This window comes from Homo sapiens, chromosome 6, assembly GCF_000001405.40.
Source record: "Homo sapiens chromosome 6, GRCh38.p14 Primary Assembly".
NCBI classification, from domain to species: domain Eukaryota; kingdom Metazoa; phylum Chordata; class Mammalia; order Primates; family Hominidae; genus Homo; species Homo sapiens.
The window spans coordinates 2,385,117-2,404,668 of NC_000006.12; the positions used below are offsets into that span (position 1 = coordinate 2,385,117).

General features: G+C 44.1%; 1 long non-coding RNA gene across 1 annotated transcript in view; it reads left to right on the top strand.

The window, feature by feature from the left end:
- Positions 1 to 19,552, top strand: part of GMDS-DT (GMDS divergent transcript) — a 167,839-nt gene that overhangs the window by 139,364 nt on the left and 8,923 nt on the right. The window contains exons 5-6 of the long non-coding RNA NR_046229.1: positions 13,461 to 13,662; positions 13,750 to 13,921. This is a non-coding gene — a long non-coding RNA (GMDS divergent transcript). The remainder of the gene's footprint in view (positions 1 to 13,460; positions 13,663 to 13,749; positions 13,922 to 19,552) is intronic.

Sequence of the window (19,552 nt, forward strand, 5' to 3'; positions counted from 1 at the left end):
ATTCTAAGCATTATAGTTTATTCTGCATTTGGGCATCACGATTCCGAGGAATGGATTTTTTTTTTTTATCCAGGCAGTTGAACAGGATATAAATGTCATTTTAATAATAGGAACTGAGAATTTAATACTATGGTATTAAACTGTAAGTATAAGTGAATAATACTAGTCCTAGCTCACTTGATTTCCTACAGAATTCTGGCCTATTCATGGAATTTTTATTAAAGGAATGCAGTACTGCAACTTTTTTTTTTTTAAGTAAAGAAGATTTCAACAGAAATGCAAAGGAAAAAAAGGAAGATACACATTGAGATACTTATACAGTTCTTGGTATAAAAAAATTCTCTTTGTCCAAAATATTCAGTAAAAAAACGAGAGGTAAGATGCGGTTTTCTCTTGAAGCATTTCCTTCACTCTTCATGTAACTTGGCTACATCAGTGTATGAATAAATATGGAACTACTTGAGGCCATACTATATATATTTTAAAAACCCAAGAATACTTTTGGAAAAGCCAAAAAGTATCAGCATAAAGTGAAAAATAAAATGAAACAGAAACTTTTCCGACCAAACAGACGTAAGCCAGATGTTAGAGTCTCCCGTGCAAGGAGGGCCGTGTAAGGCCCCTGTAGCTGTGCCGAGTGCATGCTAATGTGGCCAGAGAGAGGTACATGGCTTAAGCTCACTCTCTTTACACATAAAAATGACCGTTTCTCTCTGTTTTATTGTGGCACATTGACGTAAATATGGCTAGCTATGGCAATAAAAATCATGACTAGCTATTTTATAACTCAAGTCAGAATTTTCATTGAGTGAAAGAAAGAGGATATGTTACCAATGAAGAGAGATGTTTGATCAATTAAAATGAAAAACATATTTACTATACTTAACTCCTGTATATTTAAATATTATCCTACTACAAACTTAAAAAGAAAAACTTTTCACTTACTTTTCCAGTGCTTTTTATGTTCTTCCCTTTCTTCTGGGTTTGCTGCCTTCTGCCAACTAAGCCACTATTTAATACACTTTCATTGAAACAAACTTCCGCCCTAACCAATCTGGGATGCAAAGAGAATCACAAGTTTTATTTAGGCACTTTGCGTTTTGGAAATTAAACAGAAAAAAATATCAATATTCTTCTCCCACTGGCACAAACACATTACTTTTCTTTCTTTTTTTAGTTTTTTTCAACAAGGAGGAAAGGAAGATTAAAGAAATGGGATACTCGTAAAAATCTGTTTTCCACAGACATGCCTTATGTGACAGGCTGTGACCTAGAACCACATGCTTTTGGGGCTGTGGGCATGGTGACTATTTCTTGGCAGAAAGACAGATTTCAAGCAAGTACTCACTCTACGTCCACCCAAATAGGTTCCGGAACTTTTTGGCTCATAGGTGTCAAGGTCTTCGTGCACCTGAACCTGTAGAAGGCCGAGGGGAAATACACACAATATTTTTATTATAGGACTGTCCTTCTTGAAACACAGCCTGCAGGGCTCATGGTTTGAATTATAGGGTGTCTCATGTGAGGTTCTCACATCTGGTTTGACAATCATTTTTTCAAAAGTGTAGTCTTTTGTGAGCTTGTGACGCAAAATGATATGGTAAAATGAACCCAGGCAACTCACAGTTGCTTAAGTTGCAGTAGTTACAAAACTAAGAGAAGGGAAAAATAAAACTGGACAGAGTGCAATGTAATAAAATCTAATATATGAATAGGAGGCATATCTAGTGTCTGTCTACCTGTGGTGGGCTGAATGGCTACTCCCCAGAAGGATATGTCCACATCCTGATCCCTGGAACCTCTGAATGTGACTTTCTCAGGAAGGAGGGTCTTTGCTGACATAATCAGGGGAAGGATCTCAAGATGAGAAGACCATCCTGGATTAGGTGGGTGGGTCCTGAATCCATTGACAAGTGTCCTTATAAGAGACACTTGGAGGAGAGACAGAGAGAAGAGGAAGCAGGAACATGGCTACGGAAGTGGAGATTGGAGTGATGTGGCCACAAGCAAAGGAACACCAGAGCCACCAGAAACTGAAAGAGGGGAGGAACGGATTCTCCCCTAGAGCCTCTGCTCTGGGGGAGTGTGGTCCTGTGGATACCTGAATTTCTGATTTCTAGCTCCAGAACTGTGAGAGAATAGATTTCTGTTGTTTTAAGCCACCCAGTTTATGATACTCTGTTACAGTAACTACAGAAAACTAATTATCTATCTATTGGTCTATCTATCTATCTATCTATCTATCATCTATCTATCTATCATCTGTCTATCTACCTATCTACCTACCTACCTACCTACCTGATATGGTTTGGCCGTGTCCCCACCCAAATCTCATCTTGAATTGTAGCTCCCATAATTCCCACCTGTTGTGGGAGGGGCCCGGTGGGAGGTAATTGAGTCATGGGGGTGGTTTCCCCCATATCGTTCTTGTGGTAGTGAATAAGTCTCACAAGATCTGACAGTTTTATAAGGGGAAACCCATTTTGCTTGGCTCTCATTCTGTCTTGTCTGCCTCCATGTAAGACATGCTTTCGCCTTCTGCCATGATTGTGAGGCCTCCTCAGCCACATGGAACTGTGAGTCCATTAAACCACTTTTTCTTTATAAATTACTCAGCCTTGGGTATAAATTACTCATCTTAATGTCATCAGTGCTTATCTCCTCACTGGGTTGGTTTTTGCCAACCCATTCCTATTTGTTTTATACATATTTCATTATCCCATGTACTCCAGAACAACTTTACCTATTAACTGAAAAAATGATCAATTGTAACCATTCTGAATTTGAGACAATACCTGCTTTCTGCATTCCACTTTATTACGTATATACATATACACTAAAATATGTGCGTATGTAAATACCTGCTTTCTGCATTCCACTTTATTACGTATGTACACATACACTAAAATATGTGCATATGTAAATACCTGCTTTCTGCATTCCACTTTATTACGTATATACACATACACTAAAATATGTGCGTATGTAAATACCTGCTTTCTGCATTCCACTTTATTACGTATATACACATACACTAAAATATGTGCGTATGTAAATACCTGCTTTCTGCTTTCCACTTTATTACGTATGTACACATACACTAAAATATGTGCGTATGTAAATACCTGCTTTCTGCATTCCACTTTATTACGTATATACACATACACTAAAATATGTGCGTATGTAAATACCTGCTTTCTGCGTTCCACTTTATTACGTATGTACACATACACTAAAATATGTGCGTATGTAAATACCTGCTTTCTGCATTCCACTTTATTACATATATACATATACACTAAAATATGTGCATATGTATTAAAGGGAACTTTGTGTTGTTGGATGCCCTCTCCAGTTTCTGGGTTAGTGCTCGAGCCTCAAAGAGAAAGGGACTGTGTGTCTTCGGTCCCTTTACAGCGGCTCTGATGACCAGGCTGTTTACTGATCACAGTTTTCAGGCAGGTCCTTTCGACTTAAATTGAAAGTAAGTCAGAATATGTGTTAACAAAACCAGGAAACCAAAGCCATTCAACAAGATCTGCTTCTATTCCATTATTCTTTAGTTCACTCTGTGATATCGGGCCACATCAAGTCCCTTCAGCCAGCTCCCCAGGAGTTGCTTGGGCCATGTTTTATGTGTCATCTGTCACTAGGTGCTCCCATTCTTAATGTCCCTCTGCACATCTCCTCGCCACCATCCGTGCTGAGTTGTCATTTCATCCATCAGCCACACAGCTCTGATTAGGTTCTGCATCAGGACTCGAAGGGTTTGACTGCCCAGCTCCCCATCCCTACACTGCTGCTAATAGGCCCCCACTTTCCTTCTGGAGACTGTCTCCTCCCCAACCCCACTGCTACACACACACACACACACACACACACACACCTTCACACACACGCACATGCACTCATACATGTACACCTACACACTCCCCACATACCTACACCTCCACATATGCACACACACCCCATGTATGCACACATACCAGTGCATACATATGCACACACACCATGCACACACAAACACACACTCCACGTACACACAAACACGTGCACATACCCAGGCACCCATGCGTGTATGCACACTCCCTGAACACACCCCACACCCACACCCAGACCCTAATACACATACACACATACACCCCTGCATGTACACGGTGCACACACACAAATACCCTATATGTGTGCACCCGCATGCACACTCCCCATCACCACATTCCACACAATTCTCAGGGTCCCTCAACTACTGGGACCAGCCACTGTGGCTGGATAGTGTCCCTGTGACTCATCCAGCACAAGATTCAGACCTAACTGGGGTTCATCAAAGACCTTCCGGGAGATGCCCACGGATGTGGGGGAAAGAGTGGGCACCCTGGTTTTTCTGGGTGTGCTGGAGGCTGAAGGGGTGATGAAAGCCTGGAACTTCCACTGACCATTTTGCCACTGCGAGGAGAGAACTCAGGCAGGAATCAAATGAATTCAGGAAAGTGGAAAGTGGAGGAGGGGCCACAGGAGAGAGGGAGAGAAAAGAAGGGACTGAGAGAAAGAGAAAGGGAAGAGGAGGGAGAAAGAGAATCATCTTCATCTCTGGATCTCACAGGGGGTGAAGCAACTGCTTACCTTGAACTTAAGTCTTGGGAACCAATAGAATCCCTCTTTTGCTTAGGCTAACTTGAGCTGGAATCCCACAACCTGCAACACAAATTGCCCCCATGGATCTGGTTGCTCTCCTGGTTAAGAGAGCATGCCTAAGGCCCATGGTTCTTGGTAAGTTCACCTGTTCCCTATGCACAACCTCAGCATTGCCCTTTAAGCCCCTGTATCTTACAATCCAGTCATCCTGAGTGACTTGCAGCTTCCTGAATACAAAAGGATGTTTCACCCTCAGGCCTCTGTACATTTATTCAGTCATTTATTCCAGAAATATTTACTGAGGACTTATTTTCTAAGCACTGGAGATATAGCAGCAAACAAAACAGAAAACAATTTGCTGCCTTCATGAGGTTTGCGTTTTAGCAAAGGTGAGAAAACAGGATAGGATAGAACTAAAATTAATAAGTAAAATATGGAGTATGTGCAGACAGATCACAGAGGCACCATGTGACCCAGTAACTCCACTCGTAGCTGCACACCCGGGAAAAGTGAAAACATCACATCACAAAAAACTCGTGTTCACAGGAGCGTTATTCATCATGGCCCCAAAGTGGAAACAGCTTCATAGTTCATGGACGGACTGGATGTGGACTGTGAGCACAGAAAGAGTCAAGAATAATTCCGTGTGCTGTCCCTTTTGTCTGAAAGGCCTCACCCTGTCATCAGAGCACCTGCTGGTTGTCTGTGCCCTGGATTCACCGGAAGCACATGGATGACAGGGCTGTATTCCTGCTGCTCAGCACCGCAGTTGGACGGAGTAGGATCTCCAAAGCAAGTTTGTGGATCAAATGTACAACTCAAGTGTACAGACTTGCCCCCAGGCCATTTTCAGCACGGTGATATGGCTCAGAGAAACAAGCATGGACATCTAAACACCCAGAACGGCTCTGCTAGGCCTTGGCTGAGGGTCTCTTGACTGTTCAACACACAAGAACCCTGCAAAACCTCCCCACATCTCTTCAAGAGCCTCTGTGGCTACTTCTCCCTCTCTTTCTCAGTGCCCTTCCAGTTCCCCATGATTCTTCCTCTGTTCCCACCTGCTAAACTCTCCTCCTTCCCTCCCCTGACCTACCCATCTCACCTGGATTAGGCCTGCCCTTCAGCATCTGACATGCTCCAATCCATCTGTTAGTCAGTGGAACAGAACTGAAAAGCTAACCTGCCTGAGCAAAGTGTCCTTTCTATTTAAAAGGTGAAGAGGGAAGCAATTATTAGTAACTGTGTTGCAATAATTTCCTTTTTGTAAATTTTACTTTAAGTTTTGGATACATGTTGTGCAGAATGTGCGTGTTTGTTACATAGGCATACATGCGCCATGGGGTCTTGCTGCACCTATCAACCCGTCATCCAGGTTTTAAGCCATCTCAGCAAAACAATTTCCTTTTATTCTTGTCACACATAAATGAATACTATTCCACAGTTCTTAATCTGGGATATGGAAAAACTTGTTTGATGTTGCTGTGTGTTTGCACGTGCTGTTTCTTATGCTTGGAAATCTCTGCTCTTTCCTTCTCCTGCAGCGAAACTCCTTGTCCAGATCCCTTTCCTGGTGTCCACTCCTCAAGCAAGGCAGAGCTGGGGGCAATGCAACGGGGAACCCTGTTACTGTGGAACAAGCCTGGGTCGGCATCTCAATCTCATTTCTCATGAACGGGGACAGCTTGAACCAGCTGCTTACACTCATGCAGCCTTCTTTCACCATTTTTAGAGTTGTGAGGAGTTGATGGTGTAACGTAACTCATCCCTCCCTGGCTGTATGGGACAGTAGCATACCTGAGGATGGGTTAGGATTGCTGAGATGGGCTGGAGCCGGGGCAGGGGGCCTCCAGCTAAGAGAGGCCTCCTGAGCTTACCTCATTTGGTCTCAGGGCTATTCTCATTTTCCAGATGAGCAGTGATGTGAACAATATTGGAAAGCATCAAAGAAATGGATGTAAAGTGTCTGGCACAGAGTGAGTGCTCAGTGACTGTGGGTGCCCTCTCGTCCAGCTCCTCTCTGCTCTGAACATGCCTTTCTCACGGCACTTATGAGAATGTGCCATCGCTGTTTACTCCCTGTTTGTCCCCCTCTACATGCTAAATTCTTTAGGCCCAGGGACTGTGTTACACTCATCTCCATAGCCCCAGGCCTAGCAAAGTGCCTCCTGCCTAGTAGGTCCTCAGTATTTGCTGAATGAATGGATGATGATTTCATGGAAGAATCACTCCCTAAAGTTTCCAGCAACAGGCTGAGGAAACTCAGGATGAAAACATCATGTCTCTTGCCCAGTCTTCACCATGCTTTTTAGTGGTGGTCACTGCACTGCATGTTTTCTTTAAGAAGGGTGAGCTCATGCCAAGGACGAGGGCATGGGGTCTGTGCCGGGCACTTCCCAGTTCCACGTTCTGGGTGTAGGGAAGAGGGAGGATGCCCACAGAGAGGGAGGGAACCAAATGCAGGAAAGGAGGGCAGGAGGGGCAGTGTTGGCTCCTGGCGGGCCTGGCATATGGCTGTGCTCCGAGTTACTTCTGGTCCTGTGTGTGGGGCTGAAGCTTCAGCTGCCACCAGACATCCCTGCCATGTCCCTCTTGAGAGTCCTAACCTCACTCTCAAGACTCACCCCGATGCTCTCCATGAAAATAAAACGCACCTTCCATGAAGTGTCCCCAGAAAGCTCCACGGGGGAGGAAGTGCCACTTAGAAATGAGAACCAATCCCAGGTGAAAGTCATGAGCTGAAAGGCCCATATCAGGCTGTCGTGGATGACCTTGGATGCCCCTGAGGTGTCCTTAAAGGAGGCAGCATTCGCTTTCTCCCAGTGTGTGTGTGGCAGACCACATGCAAGCTTTTGGGCTGACCCAGTTGTGACTATCACTGTGTCCTCGGGTTTCATCTTGGGGAAGGGAGTTGTACCAGTTCTTACTCCTGGAGGCTGATTTCCTAAAGTGCAAAATTGGGCCAGTCTGTTGAGGCCCAAGTGTTCTGGAAAAGATCTCTGACAGATACATGGAAACTGAATTTAGTTGCTGGTTAAGAGCTTTCATGGGAGCAAAGCTCTTGGCTGTGGGTTTCTTGATTGTCAGGTATACATTAGGGCAGTGGTCCCTAAACTTTTTGACCGTGGAGACTGGTTTTGTGGAAGACAGTTTTTCATAGATTGGTTTCAGGATTAAACTGTTCCACCTCAGATCATCAGGCATTAGATTCTCATAAGGAGCGTGCAACCCGGATCCCTCCCATGCACAGTTCACAATAGGGTTCCAGCTCCGATGAGAATCTAATGCCACCGCTGATCTGACAGGAGTTCAGGTGGTAATGTTTGTCCACTGCTCACCTCCTGCTCTGTGGCCTGGTTCCTAACAGGCAATGGACTGGTACCGGTCTTCGGCCCAGGGGTTGGGGACCCCTGCATCAGGGGACAGAACAACATTTTGCAGAAGGGAAAAACTGGTCTTCCTCCTTCTCCTTTTTTCTGTACTCGGCCTTCTCTCACTTGTGGACACTTCGTGGACATAGAAGAGGGGTGCAACACTGCATCTGGTTCCTCCAAGTGTGGTCTAAGACCCGCAACCTCTGCATCTCCTGGGAGCTTGTCAGAAAGGCTGAGGCTCAGGCCTCAGCCCAGACCCACAGGATCAGAATCTGTATCTTGACAAGACTCCCCTGGTGACCTGAATGCACGTTCAAGTTTGAGAACATTGATCTAATCATGGAGATAGGTGTTTTGTGACCCAACAGCCCTCATTTGGATTCTAGACCCAAATCCGTAACACACTAACTGTGTAACTGGGGCAGGTTACTCTGAGGCTGTTCGAGTCTCCGAATCCTCATTTGTAGAATGGCACAGAAGTGCCCACTCTATTATAGAGTTGTTAATGGGATTAAATTAGTGAATGTAAAGCTCTTGGCACCCAGTGCTGGGAAGGGCAGCTATGGAGATGATAATCATTCCCCTTTGCCCCCCTTCCCAATCCTGGCACCCAGGACCAAGGCCAGTGCTCTCAGCAGGAGGGAAGCAAGAGCACTGGCTTGACCCATTGGTGCTCAGGACGGGTAGCACTAAACAGTCCTTCCAATCAACTTCACGTTTCAAGTGCCTCACCGAGGATGTTGATAGCAATGGGTACAGTTGAGTAACAGTTTACTCGTATTATTTCATTAGATATTTTTATTAGTGCCGTTATTTCCATGCTTTTGAAGGAATTCATGAGTTTTCAACTTGTAAATGCAACACAGTTTAAAATAGCAGTCTTTAAAAGTTATGGTTGTAAGTTTTAGGCCCTCTGAATTAATGTCCTGCCCTATGTGTCTGGGCATGAGGCCACAGATGCCACACAGACTGTACCTAGTGCTGAGTGGAGCCTATGTGGAAGGGCTGCAGGGTTCAGCTAGAAGTATCCACTGGGGCAAAGCTAGTGTTGGAAAGATCCTGGTCTGGCAGCAGAATGGGCATCAACGTTGTAAGACTGCATGTAGCAGGGGGTGGCTGGATCACCTGGAGCCCAGGGACAAGCCTTGGCACATCTATCCCTTCTGATTGATTTTACATATTGAAGTCTGCTCTCATGGGTCTCCTTGCCTTGAAGATAATTTTCTCTCTTTTCTGCTAAGGTCCTGAACGTTTCTGGCACATTACTTGGACCTGATGGTAAACCCATTGCTTTGTCACAAGGCACTGGGAGGTTATCAGCACTGAGATGCTTTCCAATGTGCAGTCTCAACCCAGTGCCCTCGGCACACCCACTTCACTTAGACAGTGGGACCTCAATAAAAATGTGTCTGAAAGGACACTGTGCCATCATTATCGGTTTAACGGCCAGGGCCAATGGGGAGAAGGGAGCAATAGTTGAGAAGTGTAAATGTGAGGGATATCTCACAAAGCACGTAGGAAGCCAAGAAATGTAGGTGAAATGGACAGGAAAGATTTCTTTTTTCCATAAGCCTCTTCATGTTTATCTTGGAAGTGAAGAATTCTGAGACTACTCCATGAATTGTCATTGTGGTAGCTACTCAGTTATTCTTAGATAAAACCAGCGGTCCCAAATCTCAGATAACTGTCAGGAATAATGTTAGAAAAGTCAAGATGAAATCTTTCTGTGCTTTTGAGCATCACACTTGGTTTTGATGCAGGTGGCCAAACCACACTGTCCTGCAGGATGGCCACTCTGTCAGTTGGTGACTTCTTGCTCCAGGGAGCCCTGGGAGCTGATAACTCTTGGTTGGGGAATGTTCCTCTAGCTTTTTACCAATTCAGTCTTTCACTGACTGGTTATTCTTGCTTTTGTGGGCGGCCATACAAATCATGTGCTGTGGGGAAGTCATGTCAATCATTTCACTGTCTACAGGATTCCCTGGAAGCTTGAAGCAATTTTTCAGATAATTAAGTCCACAGAATACTTTTTTTTCCTCAATGATTGGGATATCTCAAGTGAGTCAAAACTTTATTGCGATTGCCTCAATTCTCCATTTTCCTGGTCATATATCAAAAAAGACTTTCTGCTTCCTATATGTGGGGCTTAGCATCCACATTGTAATTCACCAGAGACTCTCTGGAGAGCTTGGCTTGGTCCCATGTATCCTAGTACAAGCTTGCCACTGGTCTAAGTTAGAAAATATACAGATTTGGGGCCCACAGAAATGTCCAATTTTATACTTTTTTTTTTTAAATGGAGAGGAGTCTCTGAGTGAGAGAGGATTTGGAAAAATGGCCAGCAGATAACAATAACAATAGTGACTAACATTTATTGAGTACATACCATGTGTTAACTGTGTGAAATAATTTTCATGTAAACCTTTTGGCAACCTAAGGTTGGCAGCATGGAAGCTTTGAGAGTGTAAGTTTCTTGTCCAGAATTTTATAACTAGAAAGTGACAGAGCCTGGATTCCAACCTATACCCATGGACACCAGAGTGTCTATATGTGTCTTTCCAGTGAGCGATGGTTCACACTCATTGGAAACATGAGTGCCATTGGAACATACTAGTCAATATGATGCCGAAAACAGTAACAGAAAGAGTGCAGGTGTTGAATACGTGTTCCTTTTCACACTGGAAAGAAAGATGGTGAGAAGTTGGCATGTCTTCCACGCAATTCCATCCCATCAGCTGGTCTCCAAATTCCCACTCCTCTTGGTTCCCACTTCTCTTTGTCTCTTTCCAGAAGGAAACAAACTCCCTGATGACCCTCACTGAAAATTCACAAACTTTACAAATTTCAATAGATTAGCTGTGGCTTCTTTTTAAAATACTCATAGGTAGCTGGGTCCTGGAGAGCTCTAAAGCCCTCTAATTTTGCTTGCAGACGGAAGAAGGGAAACTCGAGTCACTGGAGACAAAGGGGCAAAGGCATGGGTTTGGCGGCAGAGGGAAAGAAATGGTCTGTGACCAGGGCTTAAGCTGCCTGTGTTGGCTCTGAGTGACAGTATGCTCTTGCTCCAAGGACCTTAATTGGCTGATAGAGTGATTGCTTTGGCCAAAGGTCCAATTAATACTCAAGATTTGAGGACTGGTTTTCCAACCCCAGTTGGATGACTTTCCTGGCAAGCAAAGGTTACCGCTGTAAATTCAACTTGCTTCCTTAACTGGGCACCCACTCTATAATGTGAGGCTATCATTCTGTCTGGTTAATTCCAGACAAGACTTTGTGAGCAGATGGGGAATTTGGATTTTCAAATTCGAAAAAAAAAAAAAAAAGCATAAGTGAGTGTGAGTTTTATGTAGTTACCTCGATGCTCCACCTTGTGGAAAATGTGCTAAATCCCAATGTAGGAGGAGGCAGGATTGCAAATGTGAAGCAGAGTGGTTGGCCCAGGGGTTTATGCTCACTGAGAATGTTCTCATCAATAGCTTGCTGTGATTGGCTATGGACCTATTGAAATCACCATTAAACTAGAAAACAAAGTTACTCAGCCCTCGTGTGGAAAGTGTCTAAGACAGTAATGCAGAGGCCGTAGTCTGAAGGTGGCACCTCGCACTACAGAACAATGGTAGGAGCTCCAGGTTCGGATCATGGTTCTGAATTTACTAGTTGTGTGCACTTAAGTTGCTTAGTCTAATTAATAAAGCAGGGATGATAATTCCTCTTTACAGCTTTGTTGCAAGGATTGCATTAAAGAAAACATGTAAAAGCATAAGGGCATTCAATTAATGTTACAAGAGCCCTTCCCTCAACCCCAAGGGCGGCTGCAGCTGTTCAGCCTGACACTTTATGTGTGTTGGTCACAGTGCTGTCTTGGAGAATCACATACGGGATAGTGCTTACCTCCCCATAGCAGCCACGTCATAGCAAATAGCTCATTAGCATGCAGTTTCTTCCCTCCCTGTTCAGCAGCCCAGCAGACAAGCTGTCTCAGAGCCTGGATTTCAGCATGTTGCACTCACCGCAAATATCCTGCAGGCTGCCCACTCCATTCTGCTGCCCTTCGCAAGGCTTCACTTTGCCCTCCAACCCTTTTTTTCTCTTGTTTACCAGATGGAACGAAGTCTGTTTGTGGAAACACCCTTCCCCTCTGTTTACTTGGACCTGATTTTGAAAGTAACAAGTCACTTTATTTGGGCTGGAGGAAAAAGCACTAAACCAGATGTTGAGGTGACCGGGATTCCTGGAAGACATTCTTCTCTCCAACGAGACACATGATGCATGAAGTAGGAGCCCCTGGCAAGGAGCCCAGGCTGCCATGGCCTCGCTCGCTCCTGCTTCCCGGCATGGCCCCGAGGCTAGCTGCCTCTGTACTGCCTGAGCATCGTCCCCTGGCGTGTCACCAGACTACCCACTACCTGTGCTTGCACCTGCAGGTGGGCAGTTCAGTCGTTGCAGGCTGAAGCTCCCTGTCACAGGAGTCCATCAGCACTGGAGTTTACCAAATGGCCCAGTCCAGGTCTGTGTCATATTGTTTTGCAAAAGCAAGAAAACTCATTCAGAGCTTGTTACTTTTATCCCTGACTTCCTAAGTGAGCAGTGTAGCCAGAGAACTACATCCCCTGACATCCTTTAAGAGCCATGACCACTCCTGCCCTTGCTTTGTGACAGGCACTCCTGGATGCTGAAGTGCTGTTGCTGTGCACCACTATGCATCCTGTGTGAGGATGAGCACTCCAGTCCTTGCTCCCTCTTCCCGTGGCTGGCTCATTAGCCAGAGCAAACTGTGGCCTTGAAGGAGCAGAAGGAGCATTTGACTCTTCCCAGCTCTCAGTCTTTGGAAAATTGAGCAAAGTGGAATGAAAGCCATTTATTCATTTAACTGGCAGTTATTTATTGAGCATCTATTATGTGGCAGGCACCGTGGTGACACTGAAAAGAGAAGGGTGAACAAGGACAGTCCTGAGCTCAAGCAGGCTGCTGGCAGGTGGTAGTGGGGGCAGACAAGCAAAGGGGCACCCATGCCATGGCCTGCAATGCACCACCTCCAGGACAAGGTTTGGGACCCATCCCTGGGTCTTGGGGGACATTCTAAAAGGAAGCAGTGGCTCAGCATAGACCTGAAGGACAAGAAGGCACCAGTCATGTGTGGAGTGGGTTGGTGGAGATGCGCAGAGTGCAAGGAGGTCTGGAGGTGAGACCTCCAGGCAGAATGGAGGGAGGTGTGTCCCATAGCATGTGGACTCTAAGGGGCTGGGAGATCTTAGGGGTCCCTGGAGGCTGACTGAAGGCTGGCCAGGGAGCCTGCCTGGTAAGGGCCTCCAAGGTCAGGTTTGGGTGTAAGAGTAGCCATTTCTAGCACTGGTTGAGGTGCACTTCCCTGTCAGTGCCCCAAAATCCTTCAGCAGTGTCTGATACGATGTTCTAGACTGGCATTGTTTCCAGTGCAGGCCCTGTCTCATTCTTCAGGAAGCATGCTCATGGCAATACCCGGAGTCTCCACTGCAAGACCAGAGTGACGGAGGCAGCAGAGCTCCTCAGCAGGCCAGGAGTCTCCAGAGGCACTGCCGAATGTCTAAGAAGCAACCTCATTGTATTCCCAAGACCTGGGAATCCAGGTCTCGCAGATACGATGATACAATCTATAGCCAGGACATCTCTTCATGTGTAGGTAAGTAGGGGATGGGGTAAGTTCATCTGGTGTTTCTAGGCTTTCTTGATTTTCTATATGCCACTGACGCCTTTCACCTTCATCCAGTTTTCAATGAATACTAGGATAAGCAACTATCCCAGTCTTCCCAGGATTGAGGGGCTTCTCCAGATGCTGCACTTCTGGTGCTAAAAATGAGAAACTGAAATGAATTAGTCACCCAAGGAATGCTGACCCTGTGCTATATGATCACATTTACTCTTTAAAGCAATGCTTTGAGGTAGGTAATATTATTTCCATTTTAAATAATTTATAAATAAGAGATAAAGTGTGATTCCCAAGGCCATTATCCAGTAAGTGATAGAGACTGGGTTTAGGTTATATTGTCTGATTTAAAGCCAGTATATTTGTTATCTGCATAATAAATTACTCCAAATCTTGGGCTTAAACCAACAATACGAGTTTATTAATCCATAGTTTCTGTGGATCAGAAGTTGAGGAGCAGTTTAGCTGGATGGTTCTGGCTCAGGATCTCTCATGATAGGATCTCTCCTCATAGTATTGGGGGCTGTGGTCATCTGAAGGCCTGACTGGGGCTGGAGGACCTGACTTCAGGATGGTGCACTCACATGGCTGCTGGCAGGGAACTACACAAGAGACAGGCTACCATAGTGACTGTGTATCTGATGCTTCCACAGCTACCCCTTAGGACTCTAAGTCCTAGAATTGGGACTAGAAGTGGGGATTAAAGGGATTCCATAGGATGAGATTGACTAAAAATATATATACATGAATAGGCATACACAGGAATATTCATTATATGTGTAAATACCATCATTTGTATTCAGGCACACCTTGTTTTATTGTGGCTTTATTGCACTTCACAGATATTGTATTTTTTTTAGAAATTGAAGGTTTGTGACAACCCTGTGTTGAGCAAGTCTATCAGCACTGTTTTTCCAACAGCATGTGCTCACTTTGTGTCTCTGTGTCACATTTTGGTAACTCTTACAATATTTTGAACGTTTTTATGACTATTATATCTGTTGTGGTAATCTGTGATCTTTGATGTTACTATTGTAATTGTTTTGGAGCTTCATGAACCATGCCCATATAAGATGGCAAATTTAATTGATAAATGTCGTGTGTGTTCTGACTGCTCCACCAACCAGCGTCTCCTTCATTTCTCTCCCTCTCTTCAAGCCTCCCTATTCCCCAAGATACAATAATATTGAAATTAGGCCAATCACTAAGCCTACAATGGTTTCTAAGTGTTCCAGTGAAAGGAAAAGTTGCATGTCTCTAATTTTAAATTAAAAGCTAGAAATTATTAAGAGTGTGAGGAAGGCATGTTGAAAGCCCAGACAGGTTGAAAGCTAGCTAGGCCTCTTATGTCAAACAAGCCAAGTTGTGAATGCAAAGAAAAAGTTCTTGAAAAGTTAAAAGTCCTACTCTAGTGAACACATGAATGATAAGAAAACAAAACAGCCTTAGTGCTGATAGGGAGAAAGTTTGAGTGGTCTGAATAGAAGATCAAACCAGCCACCACATTCCCATAAGCCAAAGCCTAATCCAGAGCAAGGCCCCCAACTCTCTTCAATTCTATTGAGTAAGACTGTTCTTGTGTTGCTATAAAGAAATACCTGAGGCTGGGTGATTTGTAAAGAAAAGAGGTCTAATTGGCTCCTGGTTCTGCAGGCTGTATAAGAAGTATGGTGCTGACACTTGCTTCTGGTGAGGGCCTGAGGGAGCTTTTGATTGTGGCAGAAGGTAAAGGGGAAGCAGGCACATCACACAGTGAGAATGGGAGCAAGAGAGGGAGTGGGGGCTGCCACACACTTTTAAACAACCAGATCTCACCAGAACTCACTCACCCTCATGAGGACAGCACCAAGACATGAGGGATTCACCCGCCATGACCCAATCACCGCCCACCAGGCCCCACCTCCAACATTGGGAATCATATGTTAACATGATATTTTAAGGGGACAAACATCCAAACTGTATCATCTGTGAAGGCTGACAGAGCTGAGGAAGCTGCAAAAGAAAACTCTGAAGCTATCAGAGACTGGATCGTGAGGTTTAAGGAAAGAAGCCATCTTCATAACATAAAAGTGCAAGGTGAAGCAGCAAGTGCTGATGGAGAAGCTCCAGCAAATTGTCCAGAAGACGTAGCTCAGATCACTGATGAAGGTGATTACACTAAACAATAGATTTCTAAGGTGGATAAATCAGCCTTGCATTGGAAAAAGATGTCATCTAGGACTTTCATAGCTAGAGAAGAGAAGTCAATGCCTGGCTTCCAAGCTTCAAGGGGCAGGCTGGCTCTTTTGTTAGGGGCTAATGCAGCTGGTGACTTTAAGTTGAAGTCAGTGCTCCTTTACCATTCCTAAAATGCTAGAGTCCCTATGAATGATGCTCAATCTACTCTGCCTGTGCTCTATCGGTGAAACATCAAAGTCTGGGTGACAGCACATCTGTTTACAGTATGGTTTACTGAATATTTTAAGCCCTCTGTTGAGACCTACTGCCCAGATTAAAAAAAAAAAGATTCCTTTCAAAATATTACTATTCACTAACAATGCACCTAGTCACCCAAGAGCTCTGATGAAGATGGAGACGAATGTTATGTTCATGCCTGCTAATACAACGATCTATTCTGCAACCTGTGGATCAAGGACTAATTTCGACTTTCAGTCTTATTATTTCAGATATACACTTTCTAAGGCTATAGTTGCCCTAGACAGTGATTCCTCTGATGGATCTGGGAAAAGTTAATTGAAAACCTCTGGAAGGGATTTATCATTTTAGATGCCATTAAGAACATTTGTGATTCCTGGAAGGATGTTCAGAAGTTTGGAGGAAGTTGATTCCAACCCTCTTGGATGACTTAGAGGGGTTCAAGGCTTCAGTGGAGAAAATCACTGTAAATGTGATAAAAATAGCAAGAGCACTAGAATTACAAGTGAAGGCTGAAGATGTGACTGAACTGCTGCCATCTCATGATAAAGCTTAGATGGATGAGGGGCTGATTCTGTGGATGAGCAAAGAAAGCAGTTCCTTGAGGTGGAACCTACTTCTGCTGAAGATGCTGTGAACATTGTTGAAATGACAGCAAAGGATTTAGAGTATTACTTGAACTTGCTTGATAAAGTAGTAGCAGGCTTTGAGAAGACTGATTCCAGTTTTGAAAGTTCTGGGTAAATGCTATCAAACAGCATTGGAGGCTACAGAGAAATCTTTTGTGAAAGGAAAAGTCATAGATGCATCAAACTTCATTGTCCTAAAGAAATAGCACAGCCACCCCAACCTTCAGCAACCACCACTCTGATCAGTTAGCAACCATTAACAGTGAGGCAAGACCTGCAAGCAAAAGGGTGATGACTTGCTGATTGTTAGCATTTTTAAAGCAATAAGTACTTTTTAATTAAGGTATGTACATTGCTCCTTTAGACATAATGCTATTGCATACTTAATAGACTACTGTATAGTGTGAACATAATTTTATATGCACTAGGAAACCAAAAGTTTGTGTGATTCCCTTTTTTTTTTTTTGCAGTAGTCTGAAACTGAACTCACAATATCTCCAAGGTATGCCTGTACTCAAATAAGTGTGCTTTTAAAATAATCACCATTGGCTGGGTGTGGTGGCTCATGCCCATAATCCTTAGCACTTTGGGAGGCTGAGGCGGGTGGATCACCTGAGGTCAGGAGTTCGAGACCAGCCTGGCCAACATAGGGAAACCCTGTCTCTACTAAAAATACAAAAAAGTAGCCGGGCGTGGTGGCAGGTGCCTGTAATCCCAGCTACTCTGGAAACTGAGGCAGGAGAATTGCTTGAACCTGGGAGGCGGAGGTTGCAGTGAGCCAAGATGGTGCCATTGCACTCCAGCCTGGGTGACAGAACAAGACTCTGTCTCAAAAAAAAAAAAAAAATCACTATCTTGGTAGTCTACATACTTGCTCTAAGGAGGTTTCCATCACACCAAATATTTTTGTTTGGATATTAATTATGGATAATAGTTTATTCCTGATTTTCCAAACTTTATAATATCAATGAATATATCATTTTATAATCACAAAAACGTTTTGTTCCAAGTTTTATAATATAAACATATGTATTAATTTTATAACCAGATGAAAGCTCTTTTAAAAAACATTTTTATAATATATATTAACACATATATGATGGATACTGCTTGGATTTCCACTTATGTCTTTATAAATAAGCAGCCTGTTCAGATGTTTCAGAAGGTAAAATATATACTATTACTAACAGATACAATCACATATAGAATTGTATATTCCATTATATGTGCAAGTATGTACACCATTTCCTGGAATTCAAATTGGTGGGAGGGTAGGGAAGGGAGGAAGGTTAGGAAACCAGAGATGCCAACAATAAGACATTGGAGAGAAGATAAATGGGAAAGACTTTGAGTGAATGTTACCCAGTCCCAGCACAGCGTTGCTGGGTGGTCCATGTTAATTTGAAGGAGCTGGAATTGGACAGTCACAACTACTCTTTCTGAACCTTAGTTACTTCATTTGTAAAGCAGGGGAAGATAGTGACACTTGTGCTTTCAACTCCATCGAGCTGTCGTAAAAAAGAAATGAGAAACTGCATGTGAAAATACTTGGAAAAGTGTAAAGTCCTAACCCGGAGGAAGGTGCTCCCACCACCATCATTAGAGCTGTTATCTCTGGAAGCGTACCAAGACCTCCTAGGGGCAGGGCTGCTGCTCCCAGAACCATGCACTACTACTGCTTTGCAGCCCTGGAAGCCCTTCTTTGAACAGTAATAGCTACACTTCTTGCTCCAGTTGTCAGACACCTTAGCCACGGTATTTTCTTAAGCTCTGCTTCCATGTGCGGCCTGGAAGTGCATGGTTCTGTGGATGGAAACGAGGCTGTTGGCAGGGCTCTTTGCTTGTGTCTTCTTGCTTATGCCTGGATGTGAGGTCAGGTGGGGTAGGTGTGCATAAGGCCTGCCACCTGGTGTTGGTGTGTACACAGGGCTGGCATCAGGCCACAGAGCTCCTAAGGAAGCAAGTGCAAATGGTCCCAAAGGCAGTAAATGGAACATGCGAGTAAACCTTAACACTTTTTTTCACATTCCTTGCCACATCAGCAAGGCCAAAAATGGGAGAATTGCATTTCTTTGACAAATATTTCTTTTTTATTCATTTTCTTATAAAATTATCCCCAACCTGTCTGAAGAGTCTGCCAGCCATTCATGTATCTATACGAGGCAGTTTTATGGGGATGGCATAAGCAAATTCCCCACTAAGACTTTCAGCTCTCTGTGAAAAATGAGTTGCCGCTTAATGAAGCACAGCTGAGAACCTCCAGCTGCCTTCCAGTGACTCCCCAATTTTATATCTCGACACCAGACTTCTCCTCTGCAGTCCAAAGAGTGGTGTGCTGGTCAATGTTTAACAACCAATTCTCCAAAGGGGAAGAAATAATACACCATGAATTGTCGCATTTGCCAATTTCCAGGTGCATATATTCTCACTGTGGCTGACATCAAGCTACTGACATGATATGACTGAACACAGAATTGGAAGAGATGCAAACTAGTGTGAGTGGGTCTAATGCACCATCGGATCTTTTATCTGTCCACCTGGAGGGAAAATAAGCACCTCAAAATCAGTATGTGCAAAGCTGAACTAATCTCTCTCTGCCCCACATTCAAATTTGTCCTCTTCTGGGGTTTTCTATCTGAGTGAATGGCACCACAATGAAACTGGTTTTGCAAGCCAGGCCCCAGACATCAGTTGTAGTCCTCACCACCATACCCAAACCATCACTAAGGCCTATTGATTTTACTTCCTAACTATCCACAATCTGCCCACTTCCCCCTACACTATGCTCTCATTCTTCATCACCTGGATTATTGCAAAAGGCT